Raw genomic sequence first — 23,378 nt, 5'->3', positions numbered from 1 at the left:
AATACAATTAAAAGCAATCTGTTAAAAAAATGTATAATCTTTGACATGCTTGCTGCAAAGGGGAAAATATAACCTAGCAATAAGTAGCTAATTGAGTTCAAATCATCACACAAATATTCAGTAAGCAGGCTTTGTGAAGGAAAACGTGATCTGAGTTACAAACAGTAAAGACACTGAGTAATGAACAGTAAATCCACTTGGCATATGGGTGACTGTGAATTTAAGAAAAGCCTCAGAGTAAAGATTCTATATTTGCATAAATATAGCAATATTTTCCCTCTATGTTTCTGTGTCACAAGAAAGTACTAGACAGATTTTACCCAAATGTTAGAGACTGTGTTTGGAATCATTTGACTTAAACTATAAATTACACAGCAGAGAGCAAATGCCTGTGGGAACAAGGGCCTCTGAGCAGAGACTGGCAGTCAGCTCCCAGGGTAGCTGCAGGCATGGATTCCTAAGTGAGCTACATCTCACTCACATGTGCAACTCTGACAGCAGAGCTCCAGGTGGGAAAGAAACAGAAGGAACTGATTGATTGATCGATTGATTGATTAATGAATCTCCTGAGCAATGCAGTGCTGGACAGCAAAGACTGACCATTGAAAGTTAACTTAGGCTGAAATTATTATGCTCTGGAAATAATGCAGTGAAAATAAGACATGCATTACCTTTCAAAAAATAGATAAATATGGATTTCATTCATGCTTAACTTTTGCTATTCTATTCATTACTGCCTTTGAAACAGAACTAGAGAAAGGTTTTTTCTTCTTCACCCATTCACTGAAGGTTATTGGTATCCAAAGTTCATTTTGTTCAACTTTCTATTCAAATTTCTAGTTTTCTTCTCCTTCTGGTATCCTCACTCGTAACCATTTCTTTGCCTGTTCTGAAGACCCACTACAAAGAATCCCAAGACTCGTTTTCTTCAGCAACATGAGATCCTCGCCAAACCTATTATAATCCTATGTATTCTTTCTCTTCCACCTACATCTATTTTTTTCCTTTTTCTGAGAAGTCATTGATTTTTTTCACTTTGTAAGTTTCAAATAAACCTAAAAACAATAACAAACTAAAGATGCATGGCCAGGTGTGTGTTTTTTGCCTTGGCAACTTTTCCCAGATACGAAAATAAATTTTCTTTTTAATGACAGAGGCTCCTATAACAAAACATACAATTGAATAAATAATCCATTAGCTTTATTATGTATGTGAGAATGGCTACACATTAACATATTGGAAAATAATGTGCTTCAACATACAAAATTATGTTTAAATTTGGCTTTGCTCAGCCTAGGCCATGCTTAATATGTTCTGTCGGTACCTTTGATTTGCCCTTTTCTCCTCTTACAGCCCTTTGCTATCAGGTCTTATCTAAAGTGCCTTTTTTCATGCAGATCCGATTCAAATGACTTTTCTAACCTGGTCTCTTTCTTTCCCATAGCCCTGCTATTTTCTGCATAGCACTTTATAAACATGAGTAAGAAACTGCTCCCATCCTAGGAGCTGGTCCTTAGTCCACTGGTAGAGACAAACATGCACTTTTGAGCTGAGAGTTGGCACATGAGTTCAGTGTGGGAACAGCATTTCCAGCAGAAGCAAGGGATATTTCAAACAGGTAGTCTCCTGTGCCTAGTACATGAGTGCCTCAGTTGGGGCATTTTGTAAAGAAGAAAAATCTTACCGGATGGGAAGACTTGAACCTTGAAAGTATAATTGGAGCCAGATCATAAAAGTTCTTTTCATTTTGTCCTATAATCAAGAAAAAGCCGTAACAGGGGTGCGATATACTCGGTTCAACTACTATGACTTTAAAAGTGTTAAATGAGATTGTGTGAAACTGCTTTGAAACAGGAAATGCTGTATAATTCAAGCATACAGAAGCACTTCAGTATTTAAAGATGATTCTTTTATGGCACTCAATTTTCGTAGCTCCTAGTTACATCACCTGTCCAAACTCTGTGATGCTACTGTGATTCACTTTTAAGAAGCTTACCATTGTTAGCATGTGAACAAGAACAAAAACTTCCCTGCTGCGATCTCCTCCTTTCCATGCCCCACGATAAGGAGAAAAGTTGAGATCAGAAGGAAAACATTTACGTGTGATCTCGGATAGTTCGGGTTGAGTCAGCTTCAGATAGTTCGGGTTAAGTCAGCTTCAGTTAATAAAGGGGTGTGAGCCTGGTTTAAAATACAAAGCAGATCAAGAAAGATCACTTCACAAGAAATAGGGTAAAGTCATCTTATTGGAAGAAAATTTTCATCCTTCAAGTAGAATCAAGTCCTATTATCTTAAAACCTCAAATCCCAACCCATTAGTGCATGAAGAAGAAGTGTACTGTGACTTTTCTCTAATAGAGATTCCCATCTGCCCTGTTCAGAGGGAGCCACATTCCTTGGTTTGATGTCTGTTATTCTCACGAATGTTTCTTATACTTTTACTTCCTGTTTCAGAATCAATCAGTAGAATAAGCTTTGAGATTTCCTAGTTTTACAAAATTAGCATCATTCTGCAACCTTATGTGTTTTTAACTTGAGTATATTGTTGAGCATATCTGAAATGGTACAGGTACTGCAAGTTCATATATTATCTCTATTAGCACATTACTCCATTTTATGAATATGCCATGAGTTTTGTTTTTTTTGTTTTTTTTTTTTTGTCCATTTACTTGTCCAGTCCAGGGTGCTTAGATTATTTGCAGTATTTTGTTACAAGTTAAAAACGCTACAATATGTTTTTATTCTTGTCTTCTTGGAGTAAAATTGCTTGGATGAAAATATATCATGTTCAAATTTATTGCATTTTGCTATGTTTCTTGTCATCTTAATGTATTTTCACACCAGCCATGTGTAAGCATTTTCATTTCTTAGTATCATTGCTAGCACATGGTGTAACAGCACTTTTTGTATTTCTCATATTATTTTTGAGACAGTATATATTTAAGTTTACTGGCCATTTCTGTTTTCTCTTTTGTGAAATGACTACCAATCTTCCTAGAATAAAATCCTGACTGTCAACTGATTTGCTGTTTGAATTTCAGCAAATTATTTAACTTCTCTATAAAATGGTAGTAATATCACTTACCTCATTGGAATGTTGTAGGGATTACATGGCTTAATTTACATAAAGCTTTTGAAACAATGTTTGGCCTATATATACAGAATACAAATATAAGCTGTTATTATCTCATTGTGATTTTAATTTGCATTTGCCTGATGATTAGTGATAATAAGCATTTTTTTCACATTGTTATTGGCCCTTTGTCTTTTTTTGAGAAATGTCAGTTCAAATATTTTGTTCATTTTTTTTTTAATCCAGTGATTTGTTTTCTTGCTATTGAGTTATTTGAGTTCCTTGTATGTTTTGGATATTAATCCTTTATCAGATGTATGTTTGCAAATATTGTCTCCTGTTCTATAGGCTGTCTCTTCACTCTGTTGACTGTTGCCCTAGCTGTGCTGAAGCTCTTCAGTATGATGTAATCCCATTTGTTTAGGTTTGCTTTTATTGCCTGTGTTTTGAGGTCATATCAAAAAAATCTTTGGCCAGTTCTATGTCAAGAAGCTTTTTTCCTATTGTTTCTTCTAATAAATTTAAAGATTCAGGTCTTAAGTTTAAGGTTTAATCTATTGTGAGTTGATTTTGTATATGGTGTAAGATGAGTCCAATTTTATTCTTCTGCATATGATATCCGGTTTCCCATCACCATTCATCAAAGAGACTGTCCTTTTCCTATTGCATGCTTTTGGCATCTTTGTTGAAGATTAATTGACCAAAATGCATGGATTTATTTCTGGACTCTATATTTTGTTTCATTGTTCTACATGTCTGTTTTTATCCAGTACCATGATGTTTGAGTTACTATAGCTTTGTAGTATCTTTTGAAATCAGGTATTGTGATGCCTCCAGCTTTGTTCTTCTTGGTCCATGTTGCTTTGACTTTTTTTTGTGGTTTCACACAAATTTTAGAATTTTTTTTCTATTTCTGAGGAAAATGCCACTGGAATTTTGATAGGGGTTGCATTGAATATGTAGATTGCTTTAGTTGGTATGGACATTTTAACACTATCAATTCGAATCCATAAAAATGGGATATCTTCCCATTTATCTGTGTTTTCTTCAGCCTCTTGAATCAAAGTTTTATAGTTTTCAGCATACAGATCTTTCACCTCCTTGGTTAAATGTATGCCTAAGTATTTTATTCTTTTTGATGCTATTGTAAATGAGATCTTTTTTAAAATTTCTTTTTCAGATAGTTTGTTATTAGTATATAAATTACTACTGATTTTTTATGTCCATTTTATATCCTGCAACTTTACTGAATTTGTTTATTAGTTCTAACAGTTTTTGGGGGGAGTCTTCAGGGATTTTCTCTATATAAAAAATGTCATCTGCAGAAACAGACAGTTATAATTCTTGCTTTTCAATTTAGATGCCTTTTATTTCTTTTTCTTGCCTAATTACTCTGGCTAGGACTTCCTGTACTATACTGAATAGATGTAGTGAGAGTATGTACCCTTGTTCTGTTCCCTATCTTGGGGGAAAAATTTTTAGTTTTTCACCTTTTTCACCATTGAGTATGTTAGCTGTGGGCTTGTCATACATGATCTCTATAATGTTGAAGTATAATCTTTCTATACCTAATTTGTTAAGAGTTTTTATGATGAAAAGATGCTGATGTTTTTCAAAAGATTTTTCTGCATATATTAAGATGACCATATGATTTTTATCTTTCATATGGTTAATGCAGTATATCACATTTATTGATTGTATATGGTGATCCATCTTTGCATCCAAGGGTAAATCTCACCTAAATGAATGGTCTTTGTAATGTGCTGCTGAATTTGGATTTCTAGTATTTCTTAAGGATTTTTGCATCTATGTTCATCAGGGATATTGGTCTGTAATTTTCTTTTCCTGCAGTGTCCCTGTCTGGCTTTTATATTAGAATAACGCTGATTTTGTAAATTGAATTTGATAGCATTTCTTTCCCCTCAAGTTTTTGGGAGAGTTTGAGAAGAATTGATATTAATTCTTCCTTAAATGTTTGCTAGAATTTACCAGTGAAGTAATCAGGACCTGAGCTTTTTGTTGTTGTTGTTGAGAGATATTTTGATCACTGATTCAATCTCTTTACTCATTATTGCTCTATTTAGATTTTCTATTTCTTCATGAATCATCCTTGGTGGGTTGTATGATTCTAGGAATTTATCCATTTCTTTTGTGTTATCCAATTTGTTGGCAATGTATAATGGCTCAGGCTGTTATATGGCTAATGGCTAATGTATTCTCTTATAATCCTTTGTATTTCTGTGGTGTCAGTTGTAATACTTCCTCTTTCATTTCTTATTTTAGTTGTTTGAGTCTTTTCTCTTTCTTTAGCTAAGGACTTGCCAATTTTAGTTATCTTTTCAAAAAACCATCTCTTAGTTTCATTGATATTTACACTGATTTTTAAACTATCTATTTCATTTATTTCTGCTCTGATATTTATTATTTCCTTCCTTCTGCTGACTTTGAGGTGAGCCTGCACTCTGAATCTACTGGAGCAAGACTGGACCTTGGGTCCACTGAAGCCTGTGGATGTGGGGACTGACATGGAGCTTGGGCTGTCTTGGTCCTGGGACAGGCCTGGGAACCTGGGTCTGCAGGGGCCAGTCTCAAGCCTGTGTCCATGAGTGCTGGCCTAGTACATGAGACTATGGGGCTAGCATAGAGCCTGGGTACATGGAGCCTGGCCAAGAGACTGCATCTGTGGATGCTGGCCTGAAGGCTAGGTCCGCAGTGGCTAGGTCTCTGGCACTGACATGGGCCTGGGGACTGGGTCAGCTGGGAACATGTGGCCATTGCAACCAGCCGAGAGTCTGGGGCAACAGGGGCCAGCTTGATGCCGGGCAAGCCTGCAGCCTATATCTACAGAGGCTAATCTGGATCCTGGGGCTGCTGGAATCAGCCCAGCACTGGGTTTCTCTGGGGTGTACCTGGTGCTGGGCTCCACACAAAGTCAGGTGGTGACATCACTCTACTTTCCCACCCAGAGGGCATCTCTGTGCTGTGCTGCCTGGGCATGGAAAAGGGTGACATGGGTCATGTGAAACTGTCCTTCCACTCTCTTCAGTGCATTTCTTAGTTCCATACTACACTCAGGTGTCATAGTCTCTCACCTGGATTCCTTAATGCTTGCAAAGGTGTCTTCAAGTGTGGATAGTTGTTCACATTGATGACAACTGCTGAAAGGTTCTATTCCACCATCTTGAAGACTGAACATTTCTTAAGATGCAGGCTTCAAAATGATTGATTTGACAAACTTTTTATTCTAATATGAGCATTTAATTTTATGATTTTTTCTCTAAACATTACCTATCTCTGTCCCTCAGATTTTGATGTGTAGTGCTTCATTACCACTCAGTTCAAAATACTTTCTGACTTGCCTCGTCATTTCTTTTATGACCCATGAGTTATTTAGAAGTATATTGTTTGGTTTGAAAATATGGATGAATATTTAAAATATTCTGCTATTGATTTCTAATTTAATTCATTTGTGGACATGGACCGTTCTTTTGTGTGGTTTTAATGTTTTTGCATTTACTGAGACCTGTTTTATGATCTATCTTATTCAATGTTCCATGGGAAATTGAAAAGAATATACCTCCTGCTCTTGTTGGGTGGAGTTGCTCGATAAATGTCAAGATGGTTGGTGATGTTTTCAATTCTTGTAAATCCTTACTTTCTCTACTTGATCTATTAATGATTAAGAATAAGTTGTTGAACTTTGCAAATACAATTGTAGATATGTATATCTAGCCACTCAGTTCCACTAATTTTTCTTTCATATATATTGAAGCTGGGCTATCAGATATACACATAGACTAATCTTATGTTCTCTCAAATATTTTACCCCTATAATATGTGAATTCAGCCTCTTTATCCCTGGTACTATTCTTTGCTCTGAAATCTACATTTTCTGATATTAATGCAGTCATTCCAGCTTTCTTTTAATTAGTGCGAGCATATTATATATATGTATTTATGACATTGACTTATGAGTTTTACTGAATTTATGTCTTTATATCTGAAGTGGGTTTCTTGCTGAAAGTATGTAGTTGGGTCTTACTTTTTTATTCAACAATCTTTGTTTTGTAATTGGAGTATATAGCCTATTTATATATAATGTGGTTATAATATGATTAGGTTTAAATCTGTCATCTTGCAATTTGTTTCATTTTTTTCATTTTTTTTTGCTCCCTTTTTCTTTTTCTTCCCATATTCTGGATTGATTATATTTTATCATTCTATTTTATCTCTATTTGCTTATCATTTATAGCTTTCTAAAATAGTGTTAGTGGTTGTTCTAGAGTTTATAATATACATCTGTAACTTCATGCTCTAAATTAGGATGATATATCATTTCATATATAAAGAAATACAATATGCTATATAAAGGAATACAATATATTCCTGTAATACAAAATATACACAAAATATTTTATTCCCTTGAATACTGTTGGGAAGTACCCTGGGTTACAATTAGATGTTTTGTACTCAGTTTGAGCCTTTTGAGAGTTGCTTTTAAGCTTTGTTATAGCAATATCAGAGCAAACTTGGGTTTATAGCTAATTTGTTCCCACCACTGAGAAAATTCCTTCTGAGGACTCTGTCTCAATGCTCTTTCAATAGGCAAGATTTCCTACTCGATTTTATGAGTTCTCAGCATTATACTATGCTTTTTTTCGTTGGTTCTTTCTTCATCTTGAGTAAATTCTATACATGCATGTGCAGAACTGTGCTCAGTAGAAGTTTCAAGGAGAGCCTCTTACAGATCTCTAGAGTTCTTTTTCTCCAGGGCTCCACCTTCACCAATACTTTGCCTGGACTCCAGTACTTGCCTTCTCCACTCAGCAAAGCCACTAGACTGTTTTGTCCCCACTCCTCACATTGTAGCTTTGAAACTTTTTCCAGGCGTTGATCTGGGTCTATCACAGTGTCACCTCATTTGTCTTCCTTTTCTCAGGGATCACTGTCCTGGGCTACATGTTGTCCAAAGTCTGAAACTGTGTTTAAAAACATATATTTTGATTATTTTTTAGTGATTTTAGCTGGGACAGTTAATCCAGTTCTGGCTATTTTGTTGTGGCTATAAGCAGAAGTCCTTCTTAAATTATTAAAGGCACTTAGAATGCTACTTATTTTCTATATAATTATTCAATTATATAGTAATCTGGCAACTATATCAAATCTTCTTACAAGTTTTAGTAACTTATCTGTATGGTTTCTTGGATTATATACTTAGAATATTAAATTGGATATAAATATTGTCAATTTTGTCTCTTTCCAATTCTTTGCCTATTTCTTTTTATCTTAAAATTTTCCATAGAAATTTGACAATTTTGCTCAATGAGAAATGACATTTAAAGTGTGCTTTAAGACAAAATAAATTTAGAAAAATATATGCATTTTTATAGTTTTTTAAAAAATCTTTTGTTTTGGCATTATGCTGAAAATCAAATATATCTTGCAGTAATACAATATGCCAATTCATAAAATGTAAGTTAACAGGATTCTCAATTTAACATTTTCAAAGTTAATATTAAGATAGAGAGTTTTACATCTATGATAGTACATATAAAAGTGTATTATAATCTCATCTCCATCTCCGTGTGGCTCACAAATTTGACATTGCTCCATAAAAGCTTTTAGATTCACCTTCAACAGTGCCACATCCAAAGAATCACAAATCTGTCTTTGGAATATCTCCTCATAAAATCTTTATCTTTACACATACCTCCAATGTAATGTCTAACATAATGGAACATTGCAGACATCTTGGTTCTTATTCATATGTTTAATGGGAATACTTTTTCTAACCTGTCACCATTAAGTCTGATGTATGTTAAAGTTTTTACTAGAAACTCTTACTCGGGGAAAAAAAATCCTTTCTCTTCCTGCTTTGAAAATGGCCTCTTTTGTTGTTATTTTTCTTGATGAGTCAGTATTAAATTTTTAAAATTAATTTTGCCATTATAAACATACTATTTTGTTTAGATTGAGACCTTGCTGGCTAACATGGTGAAACCTCGTCTCTACTAAAAATACAAAAAATTAGTGGGGCGTGGTGGCAGGTGCCTGTAGTCCCAGCTACTCAGGAGGCTGAGGCAGGAGAATGGCGTGAACCTGGGAGGCGAAACTTGCAGTGAGCCGAGATCACGCCACTACACTCCAACCTGGGCGACAGAGGGAGACTCTGTCCCCAAAAAAAAAAAAAAAAAGAATATGTAAATGTGTTGTATTATGTTTTGTGATGTATTATCTTTATATTTCTGAGATGAACACTTCTTGCTATAATTTTTTATTATAATGACAATTTTAATTTGCTGATAGCTTATTGAAAATTTTTGTATATATACTATGTGAGATTGTCATCTTATTTCTTATCTTAAAATTGACTAGTTTCAGTATAGTTTATAATCTTTTTAAGGATATGAGTAGTTTTTCATTCTCTTCTATCCTTTGATAAATATACTTTAATGATTGTTTTGTCTTCCTGACAAAACTTTCATCATTTTTATCTGTTAATATTCCTTATCTTGAAATCTATATGATTTTACCATAAACACTCCAACCTTCTTATGTGTACTATTTGCATGGTAGGTATACTTACTGTCAACCAAAACCTTTCTATTTCTTTATTTTTAATATGTTTCTCTTGTAGATAGCATATAGTTGAATCTTGCTTTTTTATTTCTTACAAAAATTTCTGCCTTATAATTGGAGTGATTGATGATCTAATGTAATTCTTGATATAGTTGGATTTATATCTATCATTTTCCTATTATGAGTTGCATTTGTCTCTTTGTTTTTGTACTTCTCTTTCTCCTTTTTGGCATTCTTTTGGAATATATAAATTTTTTAGGAATTTTATTTTCTTTTACTTAATTTTTTTATTTTTGTAGCTATTTTCTTTTTTAGTGGTTGTTCCTATAATTACAATGAATCTTTACCTCCTCATAGTTTACACAGTTAATACTAAACCACTTTGTATACAGTGTACAAATCCTGCAAGTGCATGATCACTTCACCACACCCTCAGTTTTGATTCTCTAGTTGTCATATGTACTGTATTTGCATGTGCTATAATCCCTATAATACTAATTTTAAAATATTACAGGGATTGTAACACATGTAAATGCAATACATCTTATTTCTTCCAGTAGATTCATGTTTCTTTATAGTTTTATCTTAGCCTGAAGAACTCCCTCTAGCATTTCTTATAGTAGAGATTAGTTTATTTCATTTTTCTGAAAATGTCTTCATTTTATCTACATTCTTAAAGGATATTTTCATTGAATATAGAATTCTTGGTTGACATTTTTTTTCTTCTAGTATTTTAAAAAAGTTGTTTTTTTTTTTTTTCTGGCTCTCACTATTTCTGATGAGAAGCCTGAGGTTATTCAAATCATTATTCACTTATATGGAATTTATCATTTTCCTCTGTCTTTTTTCTAGATGTTCTCTTTATCTTTGGTTTTTAGTAGTCTGTCTATGATGTATTAAGGCCTCTGTGTGTGTGCATGAGTATGTACATATGTATAACTTTATCCTGTTAGGGTTCACTGAGTTTCTTGAATCTGTAAATTATGTCTTCCATCACAATTGTGTAATTTCAGACATTATTTCTTCAAAATTTTTTTCTGCTTTATTGTCTCTTTTTTCTCCTCTGAGAGACACACACACACACACTTGACATTTTGATATTGTCCCACAGTTCTCTGAGGTTCTATTATTTATTTTTCTGAATCGTCTTCCTTCTTATTCAGGTTGGATATTTTATATTGAGGAGTCATCAAGTTCACTAATTCTTCTGTCTTCTCTATTTTGCTGATAAACTCATCCAGCAAAATTTTTATTTCAGATATATTTTAGTTTTCTAATTTTCATTTGTAATAGTTTTAACTTCTCTGCTGAGATTTTCTATCTTATATTTGTTTTAACAATCTATTCCTTGCTATCCTTGCGCACAGTTATAATGGCTACTTCAAAATCTTTATCTGGATGGTCTCAGGGTTAGTCTCTGACATTCTTTCTTCTTGAGAACGTTTATTATTTTCTGTTCTGTTGTATACCAAGTAATATAAGATTGTTGAACACTGTGATACATTGTAGAGACTCTAAATTCTAAATTATGTTACTCTGAAGGATTTTCATTCTTATTGAAAAAATGTTAAGCAGTAGCTGAACTTGAACTTCTGATTCTATCTCCCCTGTGTGGGTAAAACCTTAGTTGGCCTTTTGAAGTCTAGAGATTCAGACTGCTTTTTATGCAAAATTGTTTCCCTGTGATTGTCCTTTCTTCTTTGTAATATGCTCCTTCACTTACCAACAGCTGCAGTTGCCCGAGTCTTTGCCCCTGGCCTTTCAAGTCAGTAAGTCCATGGGTTTCCATATGAATTTTAGTTGCTTTGTGTGGCAACACCTGCAGACTGCTCTCATTCTAAAAGCAGTTAACAAGTGGAGAGTCACACCCTACTGTTATCTTATTCATAACTTCCCTCCAGTGTCTCCCACATTATTTTCACTCTCCAGTGCCTGCAGGTAGTTGCTTTTTCAACATTTTGTTTAGAGTTGCTATCTGTGGAAGGGTTGGTTCAATAAGAATTTGCTTAGCCACGAATGGAAGAGGAACATTTTTCTATTCTTTGAAATAAAAAAGGGAAAATGAAAAGTTTTTATCTTAAAGTTTTCTAAAATGCATCTGCAAAATTACATCTGTGGTAACTTGGGGTGTGGCAATTTAAATTACTGATTCAATTTCTATAATTGTATTTAAATTTTGTAATTTAAGGAATACTTTAAAATTATATTTTCAGAAAGGTATTAATTTTATCTTCTTCAAATGCATTAACTTAAATTTTTGATATATTGTCAAAATATATATAAATATATATATAAGTATATATTCTACCGTAGTTATGTCCCCTTTTAATTTCTGATACAGCTATATATACTTTTTTTCTTCCTGTCTTAGTTTGCTCAGGCTACTATTACAAAATACCTTGGACTGGGTGAAATAGAAATAGAAATTTCTTGCTCACAGTTCTGGAGGCTGGGAAGTCCAAGATCAAAGCATCAGCAGATTTGGTGTCTGGTGAGGGCTTGTCTTCTCCTTCATAGATGGCACCTTCTTGCTGTATCTTTACATGGTAGAAGGGCAAAGAGTTCCTCTTAAGTTTCTTTAATAAGTAAGGATACTTATTAAAAGTGTTATTCCATTCATAAACATGGAGCCCTCATGACGTAATTACCTCCCAAAGGCCACAGCTCTTGATATTATCACATTGGGGATTAAGTTTTAACAGATGAATTTTGGGAGGACACATATACTCAAACCACAGCACCTCCCTGTAAAAGTTGGCTTAAAGACTTGTATATTTTATTCATTTTTTTGGGGGGGGAAGGTAAATAACTTTTATATTTACTGATCCTCTTTGTTATTTCCTATTTTGCTACATTCTCTTTTATACATTTATGTTTTCCTTTTTTCTTTAGACCTGTGTTTATTTTGTTAAAAAAAACTTAGACCTTTTAATGTAGGTACTTTATTTATTTAAAAAATATATTTTAGGCTATAAACATTAAAGATAATGTTTCAAAATACTTTTTTATTTTATATTTTAATTATTTTAAATGTATTTTTCTTTAAAATGCTATTTATGAATGCCTTTATACCAGTCATTGATATTAAAAACCTTTATTATATTTTCATTTTGTTTTATACTTTAATTGTGTTTATGGTCTAATATATAGCTTGAAGGAGCAATTTGGTACATATTTTATGGGTATATAACATATATATATGGAGATATACATATATTCATATAACCTATATATGTATGTGTTTTTCCCCTATGTATCATACACCTACCTCATAGCTCAAATCTTTGTCTTTTTGGTCATCTTGGGTGAATAAAGTCAAGACAGAAGATAGAACGCAGAGTCAGAAAGAAAATAGTTTAAATAATAATATAAGAGAAAGTATCAATTGGAGTGTTTGTATACATGGAGAGTGGGAGGAAGGAGGTGATATCAAGTCTTCATGCTTTTCCAGGAACCTCAAGGGGCTAATTTATTATAACAGGAATTTTCATCAAGTGGGATGCTGAAAACACAATATGAAATGTTAGCATTAAAAGGGAAACTTAAAAATTGCCTAGTTTTTTTTTTAATAGATAAAGTTAACCAAAGTCATGGAAAAGACTTGAATCAAGGGCCTTGTTTATAAGTTATTTTCTTTACACTAGTAATTCCCAATTTCAACTTCTCAGACTATTAGAGATTTATATTTCACTATTTCAAAAAGCCAAATGTAATATATCTTTAGCCTCAGAAGCACCTCACAACCTAAAAATGCCTTGTAGAAAGCCAATATGGTACTGCTGGCTATCTCGTGGTAATAGAAAAATATCTTTTAAACCACTGATACTGATGAAAAAAAAAAAACAGTGATAACAAAAGATGTCCTTTGTGGGAAATTTGGGAGCTATTGCTTTATATCATGCACATAATTCATTCATTCTGACATGAAAAACGTACATTTTATCAAAATCCTTCCACAGTCAGTGCACAATATTATTCAGGTGGTTTTATAGGAGTCTAGGAATCAAGGAATATTTATTTCTACAAATAATCTATATTGGTTTCTTGTTCACCACAAGAGTCATTCGTGGAAGCTGGCTTTAAATTGCATATAAGCCATTTTTAATAATAACTTAATGACATCTCACTGTGACATACCACCTGAGGTTCGTTTTCCTTTTAGATATGAATAGCAATCATTTCACTAGGCAACTAAAAATTAAGCATCAAAAAATAAATATTTTTTGAAAATAACTTTAAAAGTTATTTTTACCTGGAGACAAAAGATGCAGTCTAATCAAGACAGCAAAAGTTGTGTATGCTTTGCATAATTTTGCTTGTAAATATTAATGTTTTGAATAGTTTATAAATCATTGCGGTTTATAAAATTGCAAATTTACTAACAGACCAATGATTCAAGTCCTTTGAATTTTCATTCTTTTTAATGTTCCACCTTTCCTCTTTGTATAACCTGACGATAATTCAAAAAAGAAGAACTCATCCAATTTATATACCTTGTTCATTGGGTAATGGAAACTTATAAAATTTACATTAACAAAGAGAGAGAACTTCTTGACCAAGAAGTACTTCATACCAGCTTTCATCTGGGTCTCATCAGATGTTATTAACATGCTAAGTATTCATCTAGCTTCAAAGAATGTTTTAATTTAAGATCACATGGGCAGAAGTTACCACATTTAAATGTGAGTGAATAATTACATAAACAGGTTTAAATGTAAATTTGCAGGTTATCCAAGCGCATTAAAATCTTTAACTTAAAACTATTTTCAAATTGTAGAATTAAGATTGGCCACAAAGATTATTTTGGCATTAAAATATATACAGTTAGAACTCCTAAAAACATCGAAGACATCATCAAACCCTCAGGCTTAGATAAGGAAACTAAAGTGCAGGGAGTCAAATCTACTTTTCCAAGATGATTTGTCTGCTTTCAAGCAAAATTTGCAGTAAAATTGTGCATTGCAATTTCTATCATTATTCTACCTATAATGAGAATACTGGGCCCAGATGAGGTTTTTTTGTTTGTTTGTTTGTTTTTTGCTTTCAACCCTTAAATCATTTAAATCATTTTCACAAATGATTTTAAGCCCCTTCATTGCTTTCTGAAAAAGCAAAACACTTCTAGAGGTTGCTCGGCTGGGCACCCAGAGCCCACTGTTGGTCTTGTCCCTTTAAACACTCAGCCTCTAGATACAATTGTGTGATTTAGAATGAGAATCTGCTCCTGAAGATCAACCTCATTCTAAATTTAACCCAGAGATTTGATGCAATAAATCTATGAGAGACCTTGGGTATTCAAATGTTAGCATTAGAAAACAGTATTTCCGGTATCAGTTGGGAGCTTTTAGATAATCAGAAACCAGAGTTCTTTCAATGTTTTGTTTGATTTTATTTTTATTATTATTATTTTATTTTTATTTTTATTCTTATTGTAGAAACAGAATCTCACTCTGTGGCCCAAACTAGAGTGCAGTGGCATGAATATAGCTCACTGCCTCAAGCTTTTGGACTCAAGTGATCCTCCTGCTTCAGCCTCCCAGGTAGCTGGGACTACAAACATGAGCCTCCACGCCTAGCTAATTCTTTTAATTTTTTTATTTTGTACAGATTGGGATCCTCTATGTTGCCCAGGCTTGTCTCACACTCTTGGCCTCAAGCGATTCTCCTGACTCCGTCTCCCAAAGCACTGGGATTATAGGCATGAGCCACTGTGCTCATGTCTAATTTTTATTTTAATTGTGTCTTTGTTTTTGAGCAGTTATCTCCCAGGAGAGAAAGGTATCTGGCATAATCTTCCAGAATCCGGGATTCAAACTGTGTGGCAGTACAAATGATTGAGAAGGAGGCTGATTTCCTCAAAGGAGGCAGCACAGCTGCCCAGAGTGATGCTGACTTCATTTAACATGGGGGACACACTGGATTAGTGGGAGGCTGATGATCATTTTAGTCTTTATATGAATCCTTTCTCAGTCACAGGCAAGTTGTTTAATTTGACAGTGGTTAAGCAATCTGTGATTCATAGCTCCACAGACAAGAGAGGATGTAATTTCCTGGTCTTTATTATTGAAATCAATAAGCAAATTATATAGGAGGCCATGCATGTCTGAAATAATAAAGCAGAGTGGCCAGAAACTATTTCTCTATTACTCCTCTTTATGAGGACCCAGAGAAAGCTGGGATTTACAAAACAAATAAATAAAAGCTATTCTGACCTGCCGGTTGTTTACTTATTTGAAGCACACTGCATACAACTTATGTTGTATGAAATAAAAGTGCCTAACAGGAAGCCATACTTTTTAAGGTTAACAGTGAATAATCAAAACAGTCCAGAAAGTGTGTGGGATGTGATGTAAGTCTCACCATGCAGGAGGTCACATGTGGGGATGGGAGCCAGGCAGAGGTATGACAGATATTCAAACACGGCATAAACCCCAGGCTGAATGATTATGCTTAAATCCCCTCTTCCAAATCAACTCACCATATGCTATGTTCCACGTTTTTGCTTCATAAATTATGTAACAAAAAATGCTTTGCACATAAATCATATTTTGTTAGACTCAGCTCCAAATGGGTCCATGTAACTTATTTTAAGTCCAATCTCATCTTTTTCTTTTTTTCCCTCAGCATGAATTCTTTCTTTTTATCATAATCTATTACTTAGTGCCTTAGTTTCATTTTGGCATTACCAGTTACCTAACATGCTTTCATGAAAAATTCTTAGGAAAGTAAGAATTATTTTGTATTTAGGGTGAATTGAACACATGAACGCTCAACTTAAATGAGAAAATATATTGAAAGCAGATTATATTTCTTTCAGACAACTTAATGTTTCATGGGCATGCATTTTAAAGAGATTATTAATACCACTTATTTTAAACACAATGTTTTATCTGACATCATTTATTTTTACAACAAAATGTGACTCAGTCCAAATACACATGTATGAAGATCAGTGGTAAAATCCTAGGATGATTTTAATATGGTAACTGTGGAAGCAGGTGGCTCTGTGATATGGATTTTTTAAGGAGGAAAACAAGTCACCCAGGCCAAAAAGTTGAAAAGTTTGGCCCTAGAATTTCTATTATTTTTCCTCAAAGGATAAGCACAACATGGTTATATAGTAAACACTGCACTATGTGTCATATCTGCGTTTAAGTTTGGAAGAGATGTTCAACCTGACTTAGCCTTGTCATATTCTCTTATTGTTGGAGAAACAAAGATCTAGAGAGGTAACATGATTGACTCTAAGTCACAAAGCAGCTCCAGAACTCAGGTTTCCCAATTCCCTCATTTTAATGGGAAGGACAGAGCCGGCGGGTTCAGGCAGAACTGGGTCTGAATGTCAGCTTGTGTGACCATAGACCCAAGGGGCCTAACTTCTCTGGGGCCAGCTTTCCTCATGGGTGATAAAACCACTCTGGAGATGGAAGTTTCTGTCTTTCAAGTTGGATGGCTGGGTTGAAAATTTATGTAAAATGCTGATCTCAGCCCCAAAGTGTGTCACGTGTGCCAGATTGGTAGCTACGATAGTGCCTGGGATTGATACAAACTTGGGTAGAGGAAAAAAAAATCCACATAGCAGTTTGGCTTTTCCTTAGCCACTTATTTTAAAACCACGAATTGAAGTCGGCCATTGTTCAGCTTTATTTTACAGACAAGCATATTGAATAATTAAAAGTACAATTCACTTGCTAATCTTTGTTTCCTAATACTGATTTAGCCTGAATAACTTTGGTCAGAGAATACAAAATGAGACAAGAAACTGAGTTAGGAACAGTGGGAAACGGGAGCCAAATTTTTGGACTGAGTGCCCCCAGACTATTTTAAATTTAGTAGCAGAATGAGGCAATACTCTAGCTCTCACAATTGCACTCTATTGCATCATGGTTCTCTCTGGTATAATTGTGATGTATGTAAAGTACCTTGGCCCTCAACTACATAATTAAGGCAATTTTAAAATTTAACAGGAAAATGCATTGTCCATCATTTGAGGGACAATGTAATAATATATAATTAAAATGAAACATAAGTTCTATCAGAGCTAGAGATACAGGCATAAGGATCTGATCTGAGGGAAAAAAATGAACTCTTGGCTATAGAGATGTGTTAAACTACAAAATTCTACCCAGGAGATAGAAAAAAATTGCTATCTTTTTCTTTAAAAAGAGAAGTAGCTACAGAAATATTATAATTTAAAAATCCTGTCATCATCCAAAGTATCACCTAAAGTCTCTAGGACATTTAGAAAAAATTTACTGATCAATTTCCACACAAATTCTCTCAAAACTAGCATGTGAGCCTATTGGTCACCAGAATGTCTTCTTGCTTTAAGTATGGGAAATACTGTTTCCCAGGAGTATTTTTTTTCCTTATATTCCTGTTAAATTTTCCATTTTCACCTAAAACAATGTCATTTTTTTCCTCAAATTTCCATTGTATATCACATTAATGCTAACAAAATCCCTCATAAATTGATAGCAATGAAGATATTGAAAATGACAGCCTAAGTTGATTCCTATATTATTATGTAACATTCCAGAATCATCAAGGCTTTTTCTTGTCAACCTTTATGTACCATTTGTTTATTCTGTATCTATTTATTCATATGGTCATTCATTATTTTTCTATTTATTAAATCTTGTTTTTTACTGATGGGTCTAATTTGGCATGTCTCAAAATTATCCAGAATTCTTAAAAGTAATACATTATGGTTGTCCAGCTATAATGCTTTAAAAAAGTTAAAAGTATGATTCATAAAATTAATATACACCAAAGACTTGTTAGCTCAAGAGTGAGCAAACTAGGTAGAATATAAAGCATTTCCAAGAGTCTGTGAAGTACACAGTCTTTACAGGTATTTTAAAAATAGACCTTTGTCATAGGGTTGCTAGGTTAGTACAAAACTGGCTAATACCCTACAGGGCAATGAAACCATAACTTTTGGAAATATCTTTTCTACTGAAATGAAACCTGTCAAGTTAACATGTTACTTCCTAAAACTTGAGCTGTCAATCAAATCCAATTAGCAAAACGTAAAAATGCATTATTATAGGAAATTAAATAATCCTTGTTTGAAATTGATAAAGTGTTCCAATATGACATTGAAAGGACATACTACTCATCTTTTTTTGCCTTTTTTCCTAGTTTTAAATAATCTTCCTTAACATGGTTCACATAAATCCTTTTATAATTCTTTAATTTCTTTTTCATCCCATTGTGTATTAGATTTCTATTGCTATCTTAATGAATTAATCATAAACTCAGGGGCTTAAAGTAACACAAATTTGTTATTAAATTTGGACTAAATTTGTGGACTAAGAATGCCCCCAAACTATTTTAATTATAGGTCCATAGATGGAAAGTCTGGGTTGGGTTTCACCAAACTAAAATAAACATGACAGTAAGCTGTGTTCCTTTCTGGAGGCTCTAGGGGACAATCTCATTCAGTTTGTTGGCAGAAATGAATTTACTGTGGGTGCAAGAAGAAGGTCCTCAAATTCTTATTGACTGTCAGCTGACAGACATTCCCAGCTTCTTAGAGCCTGTCACACTGCTTGGCTCATGGTCCCCACTTGCATCTTCAAAGCTAGAAATGAAGGATGAAGTACTTCTCATAGTGAGTCTTTTTAACCCACCCTTCTGCCTTTCCCTTCCTCTCTTGAGGACTCAAGTCACTAGACTGGCCCCTCTGCCCCCAGATAATCCAGGATGATCCCCCCCATCTCTAGATCTATACCGTTAATCACACTGCAAACTCTCCTTTGCCATGTTTAAGGTAACATAGTCACAGGTTTGGTGGGTTAGGGGTAGACGTTGTTGTGTGTGTGTGTGTGTGGGCAGGCTTTTATTGAAAGCCCTATAGTTTCCCCATTGAGTTGTTTTAGAACATTTGTGAAAAGTAAATTTTCCATAAAGGCAGGAATTTGTTTCTGGACTCAATTATTTTCCATTGATGTGCATGCGTCTAAGCTTGTGCCAGCACCACGTTGTCTTGATTACTGTGGCTTTAACAAAATTTTTGAAATCAAGTAGTTCTTTGTTTTTAACAGTATTTTGTTTTTAACAGGTTGTCGGAATATGCAGATAAGTTTTAGCATCAGCTTATGAATTTTTGCAAAAAAAAGCCTGCTGGGCTTTTGAATTGTGTTGAATTTCTAAACTAATTTGGAGAGAATTTCCATCTTGAGTCTTCTAATCCATCAATATGAAATGTCTATTTATGTACATATTTAATTTCTCTCAGCAACATTTTGTAGTTTTCAATAGATGTCATCTTCTTTTGTTAATTTCCAAAAAGTTTACATTTTCATATGTGTGAATGAAATTTTCTTCATTTAATTTTTGTGTTTTTGTATTTCTAGTATATAAAAATGCAATTGATTTTTATATATTGATCTTGTATCCCAAGGCCTTCCTAAACTCATTGATGAGTTCTAGATTTTTTTAATGGATTTTTTGGGATTCTCTCCATATAGAATCATTTTCTTTTTAAATAAAGACAGTTTTACTCCTTTATTTCCACTTTGGATACATTTAATTAGTTGATTGATTGATTGGTTGGTTGTTTTCTTGGAATGGCTAGAAAATCCAGTATAATTGTGAATACAAATAATAAAAGTAGACATCTTTCTACTGTTCTTAAGGGGGGATTTTCAGTCTTTTGCCATTAGATATGATGTTACCTGTAGTGTTTTCCTAAATTCTTTTTGTCAGTTTAAAAAGCGTTTGTTCTATTTCCAGTTTTTTAAGATTTTTTTTTTAAATCATAAATAGGTCTTACATGCCGTCCAATTATTTTCCTACATCTGTTGAGATAATCACGGAGTATTTTAGTCCTTTATAAATTGAATGTGATTGGTATATTACATTAAATTGGTTTTTGGATGTCAAATGAACCCAGCATTCTTGGATAAACCCCATCGGGTCATAGTATATAATCATTTTTATATTTTGCTGGATTCACTTTTTTAATACTTTGTTAAGGAATTTTGCAACCATGTTAATGAGAGATACTGGTCTGTGATGTTTTTCCTCTTGTGATATCTTTGGCTTTGCTATCAGGGTACTACTAGCCTTGTAAAATGATTTGGGATTGTTCCTTAGTCCACTATCTTCTGAAACATCAACAGTAAGTGATGAACTGCCATGATTTCTTCTGTGACTATTTGATAGAACTTACCATAGAGGCCAGTTGGGCCTAGGCTTTTCTTTGTGGGAAGATTTCGAATCCCCTAGTTCAGTTTCTGTGCTTGCCATGGATGTATTCAGATTTTCTATTTCTTCTTGACTGAGTTTCAGTAATGTGTGATGCTTAGGAATGTGCCTGTTTCGTCCACGTTGTCTAACGTTTCACGACAGGACTGTTCAGAACATCCGCTGTCTCTCCTTTAGTGTGACAAGGCTTTCTTCCTCTGCCAACCGTCTGTGTGCGGGTAAGCGGCGCAGCCGCAGTCCGGGGCGTTTTCACGTGTGCGCTGGATTTCCGTTTCCTCAACGCTCGCATCTCTCGGGCACGCCGCGCCCTTCGGGGCGGAGTCTCGGCCTGCACCCTCCCTCGCATGCGCCGTGTCTGCAGGCGGCAACCGCTTACCAGGGTCAACCTCAGGCGAGTAGAGCAGCGGGAGGCACATGGCAGCCACGGTTCGAAGCCAGGACGGTTCGAAGCCAGCCGTTTGCCAGCTTTTGTATGACCTGTGAGCTAAAAACTACTTTCCATTTAAAAACAAATGTTAAAAAAAAGTGGAAGAAAAAGCAGGAGGAGGAGGCAGAGAGGAAATAGAGCCTGTTTGTAGCCCACAAAACACAACATGTTCACTCCTGCCCGTCCCTACAGAGCTTTCCCACGGGACCGCTGTGGGCCTCCCAGTCCCTCCTGCCGCCCCGCGGGCCCTGGCGCTGCCGTCTCCCCAAAGCCACAGAGGCCCTTCCAGCAGCAGAAAACCCTCTACAGTTCGTCCCACCCTGGACAAGGTGGGCAGCCCAGGCCAGAGTGACATAGTTCCCACGTTTTTCCCAGAAGTTCGACAGTTTTTAAGCATCCGTGCCTCTCAAATTTGTGTTAAGCCTTTGCTCAATTTCTACAGTATGGAAATGGATGATTTTGTTCATTTTTTTTCAGCTTTGTGCTTGCCTATTTGGAAGACAATTTCCTGATCTCATTTAGCAATAGCTAAAAGTGCTATCTCTTTTTTTCACAAATCTTTTTTAAGTAAACTGCATACAATACTGAAAATAAAAATAAAATACGAATCCATCATGACAATACCTCCTTGGTGATTTATTAAGCAGAACAACTTGGCACATAGAAATTTGAAAATTTAAGAGCTAACAAGGCAAGAATGTTACAATTTTATTTATTTTCAGGATTTAAAAAGGTCATGGGATTGCAAAGCTGCCAAGTGGCTGACTGGGGCCGCAGTACATTACAGAGGTATAGACAGATCATTCCGTGGATGGACTGAAACTGGAGACTGAGTAATTGGTGGCAACTTTTCCAAAGGATCATGTTTTTTTCTAAATGTGAAATCTGCAGCCCAAGCATCTTTTCTGGTGGGGAATAAATCAGTCAACCACAGATACTGAATACCTCATTAGCACCACAGTTACGAAAATGAAGAAACCCCGATACGGTTCATTTATCTATCCTGTCACAATAACCAAATTTCCTCAAAGTTAACATCACTGCTGCTTTCACTGACACCTCACGTAGGAGTCAGGAAACCCGCAAGCAGATCTCTGAGTCCCCAAGGCAGGCAAAGTGAAGGCGTGATCCCTGGAGCTGATCTCGTGTCACTCCATTTCCCCATGACTCATACTTTTAAGTCACATTGGCTTGTTTGTGACTCTGCTACAGTAACCTGCCTGCGTATTCCCTTTGAAATAAGGAAAATTATGTGCTTAAAATGGGCCTCTTCTATTTTCACACAGAAGTCTTTTCCCCTGCCTCTCTTCATTCCTTATTTCTTAACTTATCACAAAGCTCCTCTCGCCTTAGAACCTGCAATATTAATATCCTCCTGTAAGGAAATAAACTGAACCCACCCACAAGGTGAAAGTGCTTTGTGAAACTGTCAAAATTCTGTTCATGTCATTGGCCCAAGTGTAGGTGAGAGAATATGACCATAGAGGGCCTGGACACACAGGGACCTGAGGCAGAGCAGGGCTTCGGAGCCACGTGGAGGATGGAGAATGAAGACACCAAGTTTCCAATAGAGAATTACCAGCGGTCACCTGCACTCATGTTTACACAGCAATGTGCGGAAATGCAGAAGAAAAGATCTCCTCAACTACAAATTTGACTTCACTAATTTCCCTTACCAATATATAGCCAGCTACACATTGTTGTTAAATTAAAACACTTTAAAAAGTCAAATGGTCGGGCGCAGTGCCAAGGGGCTTCACTTTGGGAGGCCGAGGCAGGCGGAGGTCAGGAGATTGAGACCATCCTGGCTAACACGGTGAAACCCCGACTCTACTAAAAATATAAAATATTAGCCGGGTGTGGTGGCAGGTGCCTGTAGTCCCAGCTACTCGTGAGGCTGAGGCAGGAGAATGGCGTGAACCCGGGAGGCGGAGATTGCAGTGAGCTGAGATTGTGCCAGTGCACTCCAGCCTGGGCAACAGAGCAAGACTCCGTCTCAAAACAAACAAACAAACAAACAAAAAGTCAAATCGACTTTTGTTAGATTTTCTTCCAATCTACCTGTTCTGATTCTCTTTTATTAAG

The 23,378-nt window shown here is 35.1% G+C and overlaps 4 long non-coding RNA genes across 11 annotated transcripts in view; 3 read left to right on the top strand and 1 right to left on the bottom strand.

Moving 5' to 3' along the window:
• Positions 1-23,378, top strand: part of LINC02492 (long intergenic non-protein coding RNA 2492) — a 139,764-nt gene that overhangs the window by 37,811 nt on the left and 78,575 nt on the right. The gene's annotated exons all lie outside the window — the stretch shown is intronic.
• The window catches only part of LOC105377604 (uncharacterized), an 81,735-nt gene that overhangs the window by 11,534 nt on the left and 46,823 nt on the right, over positions 1-23,378 (top strand). The gene's annotated exons all lie outside the window — the stretch shown is intronic.
• On the bottom strand, positions 1,184-21,104 carry LOC105377603 (uncharacterized). Of its 6 annotated transcripts, none has more exons than NR_188472.1 (3): positions 20,832-21,104; positions 12,921-13,154; positions 1,184-2,181 (listed from the first exon to the last, which is right to left on the bottom strand). It is a non-coding gene; the product is annotated as an uncharacterized LOC105377603 (long non-coding RNA). The 6 variants fall into 6 exon arrangements; NR_188473.1 differs by lacking the exon at positions 12,921-13,154 and adding an exon at positions 12,091-12,189; NR_188476.1 differs by lacking the exon at positions 1,184-2,181 and adding an exon at positions 7,466-8,052.
• Positions 19,109-21,911, top strand: LOC124900879 (uncharacterized). Its single transcript, XR_007058510.1, has 2 exons — positions 19,109-21,345; positions 21,486-21,911. It is a non-coding gene; the product is annotated as an uncharacterized LOC124900879 (long non-coding RNA).

The sequence above is a fragment of the Homo sapiens genome, chromosome 4 (assembly GCF_000001405.40).
Source record: "Homo sapiens chromosome 4, GRCh38.p14 Primary Assembly".
NCBI classification, from domain to species: domain Eukaryota; kingdom Metazoa; phylum Chordata; class Mammalia; order Primates; family Hominidae; genus Homo; species Homo sapiens.
The sequence above is the reverse complement of the archived record's forward strand: the minus strand, read 5'-3'. Positions and strand labels throughout refer to the sequence as shown.